The 14,700-nt window shown below is 46.6% G+C and overlaps 1 protein-coding gene across 1 annotated transcript; it reads left to right on the top strand.

The window, feature by feature from the left end:
- The first annotated feature begins 3,213 nt into the window (after positions 1–3,213).
- On the top strand, positions 3,214–14,329 carry OR10H1 (olfactory receptor family 10 subfamily H member 1). The gene is made up of 4 exons (NM_013940.4): positions 3,214–3,323; positions 6,000–6,648; positions 10,037–10,153; positions 10,830–14,329. Exon 4 carries the CDS (start codon positions 10,841–10,843, stop codon positions 11,795–11,797), a length of 957 nt encoding a protein of 318 aa, NP_039228.1. The 5' UTR covers positions 3,214–3,323; positions 6,000–6,648; positions 10,037–10,153; positions 10,830–10,840; the 3' UTR covers positions 11,798–14,329.
- Positions 14,330–14,700: the final 371 nt, after the last annotated feature.

The following is a 14,700-nucleotide window of genomic DNA, read 5'->3' as shown; positions in this document are numbered from 1 at the left end:
TCCCGATTAGTCTGTTTATGTGCTCCTGGAACAGATAAGTTAGAAATGGCTAAGTTCAAAGTTCTTCATTATATTTATATCATTCCAAATTTTGAAAAATCTCTCCAAAAATTTTAAGGCTTTAATTTGTATACGTGCTGCCATATCTTATTTCTGCGGGTCCCTCCAGTGTATCTAAATTCCTCCAAGACAAAGATGCCAAGAACATACACTGGGGAAATGACACTGTCTTCAGTAAATGGTCCTGGGAAAACCAGATATCCATGTACAGAAGAATGAAACTAGACCCCTATCTCTCACCACATAAAAAAATAAAGTCAAAATGGATTAAAGACTTAAATCTAAGACCCCAAACTATGAAACTACTAAAATAAAACATTAGGGAAACTCTCCAGGACATTGGTCTGGGCAAAAATTTCTTGACTACGGGCATAGACAACGAGAGCAAAAATGGGTAACTGGGATCACATCACGTTACAACCTGCACAGCAAAGGAAACAATAAACAAAGTGGGCTGGGCGTGGTGGCTCACGCCTGTAATCCCAGCACTCTGGAAGGCCGAGGTGGGCTGATCACCTGAGGTCAGGGGTTCGAGACCAGCCTGGCCAACATGGTGAAACTCCATTTCTACTAAAAATACAGAAAACTAGCTGGGCATGGTGGCGTGTGCCCATAATCCCAGCTACTCAGGAGGCTGAGGCAGGAGAATTGCTGGAACCCGGGAGGTGGAGGTTGCATTGAGCCAAGATTGAGCCACTGTGCTCCAGCCTGGTCGACAGAGCGAGACTCCATCTCAAAAATAAAAAATAAAAAAAAATAAAAGTAAATAAAAAATAAACAAAGTGAAGAGACAATCACAGAATGGGAGAAAATACTTGCAAACTATCCATCTGATAGGGGATTAATAACCAGGATACATAAGGGGCTCAAACAACTCAATAGGAAAAAAATTAATGATCTGATTTTAAAATGGGCCAAAGATCTGAATAAACATTTCTGAAAAGAAGACATACACATGGCAAACAGGCATATTAAAAGATGCTCAACCTCACTGATCATGAGAGAAATGCAAATCAACACTACAAGATAATGTCTCAACCCAGTTAAGATGGCATTTATCCAGAAGACAGGCAATAAGGAATGCCTGGGAGGATGCTGAGAAAAGGGAACCCTCATGATTTTTTGGTGGGAAAGTAAATTAATACAACCACTATGGATAATAGTATGGCGGTTTCTCAGAAAACTAAACATAGAGCTATCATATGATCCAGAAATGCCACTACTTAAGTATATACTCCAAAGAAAAGAAATCAGTGTATCAAAGAGATATCATTTGTATGGAATTATCCATAAAATTAAAAGCCTAGCTCCTTTCACATAGCACATGTTTTCAACGTTCATCTCTACTGTGGCCTGGACTGGGATGTTATTCCTTTCTGTGGCTGAATAATAGCCATTATATGATTATACCACACTTTGTTTATCCATTTATTTATTAATAGACATTTGGATCTGCCATTGATAGACGTTTGGATCAGGCCATGTCCAGTGGCTCACACCTGCAATCCAAGCACTTTGGGAGGTCAAGGCAGGAGAATCGCTTAAGCCCAGGAGTTCCAAGAGCAGCCTGAGAAACAAAGTGAAATCCTACTCTCTACAGAAAAATTAAAAAATACCGTTTGGCTACTGTGAACAGTGCTGCTATGCACATTTGATGTCCAAGGATTTGTTTGAATCCTTTTCCATTCTTTTGGGTGTATACCTAGGAGTGAAATTGCTGAGTCCTTTGATAATTTCTATGTTAACTTTTTGATAAACTGTCAAACCATTTTGTGTGTTTTTAAAATGCAGATCTGATTCTCCCGTAGATATCTTTCCGTAACTTGGTTTTTCACTCAGCGTCTTAGAGTGAACTCTGTGTGAGTTTATGCAGACCAAAGTTTCTCAGTCTTGGCAATGTCGACATTTTTGTGTTGACAAAATGGCTGGAGTGCCGTGGCTACTCACAGGGGCAATCATAATGCATCGTTATATATAGTAGTATATAGTCCCATTTATATGAAATGTCTAGAATAGGTAAGTCCATAGAGCCAGAGCCAGAAAACAAATTGGTGGTTTTGAAGGACTGGGTGGGGTAGGGGAGTGGCTGCTAATGGGTATTAGGTGATGAAAACATTTTGGAACTAGACAGAGGCGGCGGCCACACAACATTGTGAATGCATTCAATCCCAGGGAATTGTATACTTTAAAGTGGTTGATTATTTTATGTGAATTTCACCTCAAAAGCAGAACGAAGCGAAAGCAACAATAATGCACAACAGAACTCTGATTTTATGGGTTTGCATTGTTTTCACATCCTACATGCTCATGAAGATCTGAAGGGATACCCATTAAATTCACCGTCACGATTGCCTGGCTGGCCATTGCATGGTTTGCTGCTTTGTATGTAGCATTTCAATTACATAATAAGAAGAAACAGGCCAGGCATGGTGGCTCACAGCTGTAATCCCAGCACTTTGAGAGGTCAAGGTGGGAGGATCCCTTGAGCCAAGGAGCTCAAGACCAGCCTGGGCAACAAAGCGAGACCCCATCTCTACAGAAAAATTAAAACTTAGCCCAGGTGTGGTGGCAAGCACCTTTACTCCCAGCTGCTCAGGAGGCTGAGGCAGGAGAATCATTTGAGCCTGGGAGGTTGAGGCTGCAGTGAGCCATAATCACACCACTGCACTCCAGCCTGGGCAACAGAGCTAGACCCTGTCTCAAAAAATAAAAATAAAAACAAATACGTGTGTGTGTGTTGGTTTTAAAAAATTATTTTAAAGGACATTTAGTTGGGCAAATGACCCAGTTGGAGAAGAATGAAGGTGACGGGGCATATCAAGGCAGCCTCTGCAGTCCCTGGGGGCAATGGCAGGGCTGCCCTCCTGTCAATTTCAACAGTCATGGGCCCAAACCCCAAATCTGTAGAGCACTAGACTCTGCTCAAGCTCTTGACAAGCTCAGGGAATTGACTCACCCCTGGCAGGCGGGGGGAATGGGAAAGTGAGGATACAGATTCCCTGAGGTTGCCTCCTCTCTGGCAGGGTCCCTGGGGTCCCAGCATCCCTGTAGCGGAGACAGAGACAGTAGGACCACAGCGAGGGAAGCCGGTGGGCAGGGAGTCAGGGAGGGATAAATAATCGCATTTGGGCTCAGTCAAGCCCCCGGCTCAGCTGGTGTGGCTGCTTGGTGCAGCCCACACCTGGTCAGCTCCCACCTGTGGAGAAACTCCAAACTAGAGCCTCCTACTGGGATGAAGCAGAAGCAGATGCCTGGAGTCCCAGGTGAGTCACCTCCCCTCTCAGCCACCTGACCAGGAGAGACCTGGGGAACCAGCACCTGCCAGGGACTCCAAGAAACCACCTGTTTATATTACTCCTTTAGCAATGTGAGTCTACAGGGCAGTGGGTGACAGGCAGAGGCCACTCACCACGTCTTAGTCAGTGTGCTGTTTGCTTAGCAGGACTTACCTTCTTCTATTTTTTTTTTTTTTTTTTTGAGACGGAATCTCGCTCTGTAGCCCAGGCTGGAGTGCAGTGGCGCAATCTCGGCTCACTGCAACCTCCGCCTGCCAGGTTCAAGCGATTCTTCTCCCTCAGCCTCCTGAGTAGCTGGGACTACAGGTGCGTGCCACCATGCCTGGCTAATTTTTTGTATTTTTAGTAGAGACAGGGGTTTCACCATGCTGGACAGGCTGGTCTTGAACTCCTGATCTCGTGATCCACCCGCCTCGGCTTCCCAAAGTACTGGGATTACAGGCATGAGCCATCGTGCCCAGCCAGGACTTGCCTTCTTTAGAGCTCCTGCTGCCTCATGAGGTAGGTCCCTTGGATGGGGGAGGTAACAGGTGCAGAGAGAAGACAGCCAATGCTCAATGTGACCCAAGGTGATGGTTTGATTTTAACCTCTCTTCTCGGTCTGTCCAGGCAAGAAGTCTACGGAAAAAGGATTGGGAAGAGGCGGAGAAAAGAGAGAAAGAGGATTCAGGGTTCAGAAGCTCCAGCCACCACCCCAGGGTGTAAAGAATCAGGGTGGGCCGGGTGCAGTGGCTCATGCCTGCAATCCCAGCACTTTGGGAGGCCAAGGTGGGAGGATCACTTGAGTCCAAGAGTTTGAGGCCAGCCTGGGCAGCATAGTGAGACCCTGTCTGTACAAAAAAATACAAAAATTGGCCAGGAATGGCAGGCACCTGTAGCTACTCCAGAGATTGAGGTGGGAGGATTGCTTGAGCCCAGGAAGTTAAGGCTGCAGTGAGCTGTGATTGTGCCTCTGCACTCCAGCCTGGGTGACAGAGGGATACCCTGTCTCTCTCTCTCTCTCTCTCTCTCTCTCTCTCTCTCTCTCTCTCTCTCTCTCTCACACACACACACACACACACACACACACACACACAAGGGAGGCGTCAATGGGAGCAGGTGGTGAGGGAATGGTTAGGAGCTGGGGATGAGAAGATGGAGAGAAAAGAGAGGGAAGTGGTGGCTTAAGTGGAAGAGAGGGGAGGCCAGACAGCTTCACTAAGAAGAGAGAGCCAGGATGGGTGAGAGTTAAGGCCAGATGGGGTCTCAGAGACAAGACAGGCCTGGCCCATGGAGTGATGCTGTCACCCAGGAGACACGTGACAACGTATAAGGACATTTCTGATTGTCGTGACTGGGGAGTGCTGCTGGTATCTATCTGGTGGGTGGAGACCAAGAATGCTGCTCAGTCTCCTGCAGTGCACAGGACACCCCTCTGAGAGAGAATGATTCGCCCCTAGCGTCCCTAATGCTGAAGGCAGGAAACCCTGCTCTAGGGATGTCTGTGGCAGGACTTGTCCACAGCCACGCTTAGCCCTAGAGTCTCTGAGTGGAGAACTGGCCCCACCGGGTGTTCCTGTCAGTGCTAGACAGTGGGCTTGCTTGCTCTCTCTCTTTCTTCTCACCTTTTTCTTCTCTTTCCCCTCTGTCCTCTCTTTCTCCCTACCTCTCTTTCCTCTCTCTGTTTCTCTTCCCACCTCCCTCTCTCTCCACTTCTCTCTCTCTCCCCACCCTTCTCTCTGTCTCTCTCTCTCTTTCCCCAACCCTCTCTCTCCCCACCTCCCACACTCTCTGTGTCTCTCTCCCCACTTCTCTCTCCCCACCTCTCTCTGTGTCTTTCTCCCTGTCCTTCTCTCTCTCTCTCCCCCCACCTCCCACTCTCTATCTCCCCACTTCTCTCTCTCCCTCCATCTCTCTCTCTCTCTGTGTGTGCTCTTTCCCCACATCTCTCTGTGTCTCCACCTCTCTGTCTCTCTCTTTCTCTCTCCCCACCTCTCTTTCTTTCTCTCCCCACCTCTCTCTCTCTGTTTCTCCCTCGCCTCCTCTCTCTCTCTCTCTCTCTCTCTCTTCCCCTGCCTCTCTCTCTATCCCCATCTCTCTCTTTCTCTTCCTACCTTTCTCTCTCTCTGTTTTACCTACAGAGGAACCCACTGGATGTTCTGCTGGTGAATCAATGCCCAGAAGCTCTAAATCCTCCTCGCTGCTATCCTAGTCCCACATCCACCATGGGTTTGGTTTTGTTTTACTTTTTAAAATTAATAGACTTTATTTTAAGAGCAGTTTCAGATTTACAGAACATAGAGCAGATAGATACTGCAGAGAATCTCCATATACCCTCTCTCCGCCTGCACACAATTTCCCCTATAATTAGCAACTGGGATTTTTTTTTTTTTTTACCATTAATCTGTTACAACTGATGAACCAGTGTTGACACATTGTCATTGACTGAAATCCACAGTTACATTAGAGTTCACTCTTGGGGCTGTACATTCTCTGGGTTTTGACAAATGCACAATGTCCTGTATCTACCATGACAGTATCACACAACATAGTTACACTGTCTTAAAAACCCTCTGTGCCCCACCCATTCATCCCTCCCTCTCACCCACTGGTCCCCTGGAAGCCACTGATCTTTTGCTGTCTCCATGGTTTTGATTTTTCCAGAATGACTGGACTACCCTTTTAGCTGCATTCTGCATCCCATCATTCCAGACGGTGTTACATGCAGCCCTCAGCTACCTCCTACAGACGTGATCGGCTCCTGTCCTCTCAAGGTTTCTCCCTCCCTCCCTTCCTTCCTCCCTCCATTCCTCCCTCCCTCGTTTCTTCCTATCTCACTCTCCTTCTTTCCTCCCTCACTCTCCTTCCTTCCTTCCTGCCTCCCTCCCTCCCTTTCTTCCTTCCTTCCTCACTCTCCTTCTTTCCTCCCTCACTCTCCTTCCTTCCTGCCTCCCTCCCTCCTTTCTTCCTTCCTCACTCTCCTCCTTTCCTCCCTCACTCTCCTTCCTTCCTTCCTTCGTTCCTTCCTTCCTCCTTCCCTCCCTCCCTCCTTCCTTCCTCCTGCAGTCCCCATCCTTCCTTCCTTTTATCCTTCTTTCCTTCCTCCCTCCCTCCCTCTCTTTCTTCCTCCCTTTTTTCTTTCTTTTCCTCCTCCTCCTCCTCCTCCTTTTCTCTCTCTCTCTCTCCCCCCACCTTGTTCACTCACTCGCTGTCGATTCTTGTGATCTGAATTGATATGAACAAGAGTGTGTAGACGGTCAGTCATGGGGAAGCAGCATCTCCTAGTGGCCTTTGAAACAGCCACCAGCAACTGGTGAGTATAACAAGAGGTTAGGAAAAGACAGGCTTTGAGATCAATCAGACCTAAGCTCAGACCCTGGGCCCCCACTTCAGACTCAAGGCACCTAAGGCAAGTGATGTGTCGTGGGTTTCAGTTTCCCTGTCTGTAAAATAGGGATCAGAGCAGATGACTTCTAATGTGGGGGTAAATATTCAATAAGAATAGCATGAGTGATGTGAGTGCAGTGCCTGGTCTGTAGGACATATCCAGTAAAGGGCAGCTGCTCTCATCGGTGTTGTTGTTGAGTACACAGCACTGGTGCTGTAGACACAACAGTCCTTGGCTTCAGGGATTCACAATCAGGTTCCAGGGATAGACACAGCTCCAACATGACATATCACGGCAAACATCATAACAAAGTCATGAGCAAGGAGCTTTAAAGTTACTTGTAGGAGGCACAGAGCGAGAATTGAACCAATGCCTGCTGTTACCATTAACTGGGAATCATTATTTTGAAAGCACCCAGGAATGGGTGGCTTAATATGCCTTGGGAAGAAATATCCAGGAGGACTGCATGGAAGAGGTGACATCTAAGCTGAATCTTAACAACAAACAGGGGTTTGCCAGGTGAAGAAGTGGAGGAATGGGGATCCCAGCAGAGGGAGGGTGTGAAGGAGTTGCGGCTGCACTCTCTGGATCAGCGGTTCTCAACTGGGGGTGACTTTGAGCCCCATGGAGACATGGGTGTTTTCTGGAGACATTTTTTGGTTGTCATGACTGAGCAATGGCTGCTGGCATTGAGTTGACAGAGACCAGGGATGCTACTAAACATGTTATGAGACACAGAACAGCTCCCCACAGAAAGAATGACCTGGCCCTAAATATCAACAGTCCCAAGGTTGAGAAACCCTGCCTTAGGCACTGGGGAGCCACAGAGGGTTTGTGAGCACCACCCCAGGGCACCAATCTCGCCCATTTGGCCTCTTCTTGGAGGTTCTTGTTTCCAAGTCATTTACTCCTCTAAGATCTCAGAGTGGCGGGACATGGTGGTGCTGTGGGGGCCACTATTCTGTGGAGCTACGGGCAAGTACTGACCCAGAAGTGGGGCAAAACGAGAGTGATTCCAGGAAGAGAGACCAAGAAACTCTGGAGACCAACGATGTTTGGAGAATGCAGCCTCTGCTCACCAAAGGAGCTGGTTCTTCCTTCATCTCTCACTATAAATCTGCCAGGGCTTGACTGAGGACCTGAGCCCACTTAAAGGGAAGTGAACTACCCTTTCTAAAATGATCTTTTTATTGTAATAACATACATACAACCTGAAATTTACCTATTTATTTATTTATTTTCTTTTCTTTATTTTTATTTTATTTTATTTCTTTATTTTTATTTTATTTTATTTTTGAGAAAGCCCACTGCATTTGCCTTTTATTACTGGATTTCCACATAAACACTTAAAAGTATACAATTCAGTGGCATCAAGAACATTTATGCTGTTGCACTAACACCACCTTTGCCTAGTTCCAGACAAAGGTAATAATTTTTTATTAGCCCAAAAGGAAACACCGTATCTATTAGCAGTCACTCCCCATTCTCCCCTCACCCCAGCCCCTGGAAACCACTGATAGGTTCCAAATGCTACAAGCATTTTCATTGCAGCATTGTTCACGAAGGCCAACAGGTGGGGCACAACCCTCATGTCCATGAAAAGATGACGCATATTCATAAAATGGAAAATCGTTCAGCCATAAACAGGAATAAAGCTCAGACGCATGCTGTGGTGTTTTAATACTGTTACAATTGCATGCTACAATGCAAATGAACCCTAAAACATTATGTTCAGTGAAAGAAATGAGACACAAAAGGCCCCATCTCGTATGATTCCATTTATGTAAAATGTTCAGAACAGACACATCCGTAGAAACAGAAAGCAGAGTGGTAGTTTACTCCTTTTTTTTTTTTTTTTTTTGAGAAGGAGTCTTGCTCTGTCACCCAGCCTGGAGTGCAGTGGTGTGATCTTGGCTCACTGCAACCTCCATCTCCCAGATCAAGCGATTCTCCTAACTCAGCCTCTTGAGTAGCTGGGACCACAGGCCTGTGCCACCATGCCTGGCTAATTTTTGTATTTTTAGTAGAGGCAGGGTTTCACCATGTTGCCCAGGCTGGTCTCGAACTCCTGATCTCAAGTGATCTGCCCACCTTGGCCTCCCAAAGTGCTGGGATTATAGGCGTGAGCCACTGCACCTGGTCACACATTGCCAAATTTTTTAAAAAAGAGATTAACTAAGCATGGTGGTGCATGCCTGTAGTCCCAGCTATTTAAGGGGGCTGAGAAGGGAAGATCGCTTAAGCCCAGGAGCCGAAGGCTGCAGTGAGCTATGATAATTGTGCCACTGCACTCCAGCCTGGGTGACAGAGCCAGACCCTGTCTTTTGAAAAAAAAAAAATTGAATATATTTAATTGTTTCATAAAGACACATAGAAATCTCATGAAATTAAAGTTACTGAGCAAAGACCATGTACAGTCACTCATTTACTGTATTAATTATCATATGTAGCATCTACTGCATGCCAGGTCACTTAAGAAAAGCTCATTTCCTTCCCACAACAACCCTTTGAGGTAGGGAGGTACAGAGAGATAAAGGAATCTGCTCAACTTTACAAAATATTGGCCAGATGCAGTGGCTCACTTCTGTAATTCCAGCACTTTGGGAATCCCAGGCAGGAGGATGACTTGAGGGGTGGAGTTCCAGACCAGCCTGGGCAACATAGCAAGATGCCATCTCTATAATAAAAAATAAAACATTAGCTGGGTGAGGTGGTGTGTGCCTGTAGTCCCAGCTACTTGGGAGGCTGAGGTAGGAAGATTGCTTGAATCCAGGAGTTTGAGGTTGCAGTGAACTATGATTGCACCATTGCACTCCAGTCTGGGGAACAGAATGAAACTCTGTCTCTACAAAAATAAATAAATAAATACATAAATAAATAAATAAATAAATAATCATTACACAACAGCCAGAGGAGGGATTTGAACTGAGCCCTGCTGATTCCCACGCCCTTCTTTCTGTCTGATGGCTACATTTCATTGCCTCAGAACATAGAGGCATACCTCATGGGAGCTGGAAAACAACCAAAGCATGATTTCTGGCTCCTTCCTTAGAGCAACACAGTCTCCTGCCTCTGCTTTCCTACATGGATAACCCCAGAGGAAGTCTGGTTGGTTCAGATTTAGAGACGCGCCCTGTTCCAAGGAGTTGCAGCCATGGGTGGGAACGTCTCATGATACCTGGAGCTGGGGGATGAACGTGATTTATCAGAAGGGAGTAGGAGGGCAGAGAAGGAATGAATGGAAGTTCCAGCAAAGGAATATGTTTTTCTTCTTCTTCTTTTTATTTATTTATTTTTTTTTTTTTTGAGACAGAGACTCGCTCTGTCGCCAGGGTGGAGTCCAGTGGCGCCATCTCGGCTTACTGCAACCTCCGCCTCCCAGGTTCAAGAGATTCTCCTGTCTCTGCCTCCCGAAGAGCTGGGACTACAGGTGCGTGCCACCATGCCCGACTAATTTTTATATTTTTAGTAGAGATGGGGTTTCACCATTTTGGCCAGGCTGGCCTCCATCTCTTGACCTCGTGATCCGCCTGCCTCAGCCTCCCAAAGTGTTGGGATTATAGGCGTGAGCCACCGTGCCCGGCCATTTTCTTCTTTCTTTAAGAGATAGAGTCTAGCTCTGTCACCCAGGCTGGAGTACAGTGGTGCCATCATAGCTTGCTGCAACCTCAAACTCTTGGGCTCAAGCCGTCCTTCCCCCTTAGCCTCCAAAGTGCTGGGATTACAGATGTGAACCACCATGCCAGCCTGGAGCATTTTCGTTTGGGGGCAGGGGGCAACATAGAGAAATAGTGAAGGGTACAGGTTTTAGAGCCAGCCCAGCTATGGGTTCCAGTCTCTGATCTACCGTTTCAACAGCTTGGCCTTGAGCAAGCTCTACATTTCAATATTCTCAATGACTATGCTCAAGGTACTTCAAAAGGGGGTTGAAAAAATAGTACCGTTCTCACTAGGTTGACGAGAGTATTAAATTATAGGAGGTACAGAGTGGGAATGGAACCAAACCATTTATCAAGAGCAGTCCCTTGGGCAAATCCAGGTATGGGGAAGGCTGAGAACTTTTCTTCATGCAGTAACTGACATCTCCCTGTCACATCTCACCCCAGGCACAGCCTCCATGCAGAGAGCCAATCACTCCACAGTGACCCAATTCATCCTCGTCGGCTTCTCTGTCTTCCCCCACCTCCAGCTGATGCTCTTCCTGCTGTTCCTGCTGATGTACCTGTTCACGCTGCTGGGCAACCTGCTCATCATGGCCACCGTCTGGAGCGAGCGCAGCCTCCACACGCCCATGTACCTCTTCCTGTGCGCCCTCTCCGTCTCCGAGATCCTCTACACCGTGGCCATCATCCCGCGCATGCTGGCCGACCTGCTGTCCACCCAGCGCTCCATCGCCTTCCTGGCCTGTGCCAGTCAGATGTTCTTCTCCTTCAGCTTCGGCTTCACCCACTCCTTCCTGCTCACCGTCATGGGCTACGACCGCTACGTGGCCATCTGCCACCCCCTGCGCTACAACGTGCTCATGAGCCCGCGGGGCTGCGCCTGCCTGGTGGGCTGCTCCTGGGCTGGTGGCTTGGTCATGGGGATGGTGGTGACCTCGGCCATTTTCCACCTCGCCTTCTGTGGACACAAGGAGATCCACCATTTTGCTTGCCATGTGCCACCTCTGTTGAAGTTGGCCTGTGGAGACGATGTGCTGGTGGTGGCCAAAGGCGTGGGCTTGGTGTGTATCACGGCCCTGCTGGGCTGTTTTCTCCTCATCCTCCTCTCCTATGCCTTCATCGTGGCCGCCATCTTGAAGATCCCTTCTGCTGAAGGTCGGAACAAGGCCTTCTCCACCTGTGCCTCTCACCTCACTGTGGTGGTCGTGCACTATGGCTTTGCCTCCGTCATTTACCTGAAGCCCAAAAGTCCCCAGTCTCTGGAAGGAGACACCTTGATGGGCATCACCTACACGGTCCTCACACCCTTCCTCAGCCCCATCATCTTCAGCCTCAGGAACAAGGAGCTGAAGGTCGCCATGAAGAAGACCTTCTTCAGTAAACTCTACCCAGAAAAAAATGTAATGATGTAGGAGAAATTCACTGGGAACAACTAAATTGGATTACCGAAGGCTATTGTTAAAAATTACGTTCCGTGGTGACTCATGCCTGTAATCCCAGCACTTTGGGAGGCCGAGGCAGGCGGATCACCTGAGGTCAGGAGTTTGAGACCAGCATGGCTAACATGGCGAAACCCCATCTCTACTAAAAATACAAAAATTAGCCAGGCATGTTGGCACATGCCTGTAACCCTAGCTACTTGGGAGGCTGAGGCATAAGAATCGCTTGACCCGGTAGGTGGAGGTTGCAGTGAGCTGAGATCACACCACTGCACTCCAGCCTGGGCGACAGAGTGAGACTGTCTCAAAGAAGAAAGAAAGAAAGAAAAAAAGAAAATTACGTTCCAGCCAAGCACTGTGGCTCACACTTATAATTCCAGCACCTTGGGATGCCAAGGCAGGAGGATTGCTTGAGGCCAGGAGTTCAAGACTAGACTTGACAACATAGCAAGACTGCATATCTACAAAAACTTAGAAAAAAATAGCTTGGCATGGTGGTACATGCCTGTAGTCCCAGCTACCTGGGAGACTGAACTGGGATTACTGCCTAAGTCCAGAAGTTTGAGCTTACAGTGAACTATGACTGTGCCACTGCAGTCTAGCATGGATGACAGAGTGAGACCCTATCCCTTCCCCCCTAAAAGAAAGACAATCCATGAACATATAGTAACCTCTATTTGTCATGCTTTAAGGTTTACAAGGGACCTTGTAGACGACATACAATTATAAACACAAAGGTTAATCAGCATCAGGGATGTATTTGGAGTGGAAGTGTGTGTGAGATACTAACACAGAGAAAACCAGGTTTGATTATTTCTATCTGCTGCAAGAAACTGTGTCAGTTAGCACCAAACCTCCATCTAGACTCCTCTTGCCAAAAGCCAGGGTCATCTAATACCCCCAATAATGCAAACCAGCAATGCAAAGAGAGAGGGAAGATTTCATGCCCCACTCTCTATGAGTGCCGCACCAGGTAGCTACAACTCAGATTTTGTAAGGCTACTCCAGATTATAGCAGAGGAGAGAAAAGTACCCTAAATTTCAGCATTGCACAGATCTATGCAATAGAAGTTAGAAATAGCAATAAACAGACTCTCTTTAAACATCAAGGAAACCTTAGAATTTCAAGTGTGAGTCTTGAATAGTTGTGGAGAGACTGAGATGTCTTCATGGTTGGATCAAGGAAAAAAGTCACACTGTGAGATACCGAATGCTGTGTTAGAAGTTGACACGGCTCATGGGCCAGCCAGGAGCTCTCTGTTGAATCTGGACATTGAGTGTAGACCCCAGGATGAGTTTATCTCATGGCCAGGCGCAGTGGCTCATGCCTGTAATCCCAGCACTTTGGGAGGCCAAGGTGGGTGGATCCCCTGAGGTCAGGAGTTCAAGAGCAGCCTGGGCAAATGGCTGAAACCCCATCTCTACTAAAAATATAAAAATTAGCCAGGCGTGGTGGCAGGTGCCTGTAATCCCAGCTACTCAGGAGGCTGAGACAGGAGAATAGCTTGAACCATGGAGGCAGAGGTTGCAGTGAGCTGAGATCACACCACTGCACTCCAGCCTGGGTGACAGACTGAGACTCCATCTCAAAAAAAAAAAAAAAAAAAAAAAAGAAAGTTTACCTCATGGTCTCTTCCCAATGGGCAGGGATTTAAGATTGACCCTACTGTATAGTATTTATATATTTATTGACAATAGGTCTTCCTGTGTTTGAGCTATGCATCATTTTTTTCTAAAGTGTGAATTCTCCATCATTCAAGCAGTCAAAACAACCCACAGTCAAAACATCCCATATTACAAAAGCCAAAATTGACAAATGGGATCTAATTAAACTAAAGAGCTTCTGCACAGCAAAAGAAACTACCATCAGAGTGAACAGGCAACCTACAGAATGGGAGAAAATTTTTGCAATCTACTCATCTGACAAAGGGCTAATATCCAGAATCTACAATGAACTCAAACAAATTTACAAGAAAAAAACAAACAATCCCATCAAAAAGTGGGCAAAGGATATGAACAGACACTTCTCAAAAGAAGACATTTATGCAGCCAAAAAACATATGAAAAAATGCTCGTCATCACTGGCCATCAGAGAAATGCAAATGGAAACCACAATGAGATATCATCTCACACCAGTTAGAATGGCAATCACTAAAAAGTCAGGAAACAACAGGTGCTGGAGAGGATGTGGAGAAATAGGAACACTTTTACACTGTTGGTGGGACTGTAAACTAGTTCCCCATTGTGGGAGTCAGTGTGGCGATTCCTCAGGGATCTAGAACTAGAAATATCATTTGACCCAGCCATCCCATTACTGGGTATATACCCAAAGGATTATAAATCATGCTGCTATAAAGACACATGCACACATGTTTACTGCAGCACTATTCACAGTAGCAAAGACTTGGAACCAACCCAAATGTCCAACAATGATAGACTGGATTAAGAAAATGTGGCACATATACACCATGGAATACTATGCAGCCATAAAAAATGATGAGTTCATGTCCTTTGTAGGGACATGGATGAAGCTGGAAACCATCATTCTCAGCAAACTATCGCAAGGACAAAAAACCAAACACCACATGTTCTCACTCATAGGTGGGAATTGAACAATGAGAACACATGGACACAGGAAGGGGAACATCACACACCAGGGACTGTTGTGGGGTGGGGGAATGGGGGGAGGGACAGCTTTAGGAGATATACCTAATGCTAAATGATGACTTAATGGGTGCAGCACACCAACATGGCACATGTATACATATGTAACAAACTTGCACGTTGTGCACATGTACCCTAAAACTTAAAGTATAATAATGATAAAATTTAAAAAAAAATCCCACATTAGCATGAAAAGTGAGGATGTGGGAAAC

Source organism: Homo sapiens, chromosome 19 (genome assembly GCF_000001405.40).
Source record: "Homo sapiens chromosome 19, GRCh38.p14 Primary Assembly".
NCBI lineage: Eukaryota > Metazoa > Chordata > Mammalia > Primates > Hominidae > Homo > Homo sapiens.
Note: the sequence above shows the minus strand (reverse complement) of the source record. Positions and strands in the feature narration are given on the sequence as shown.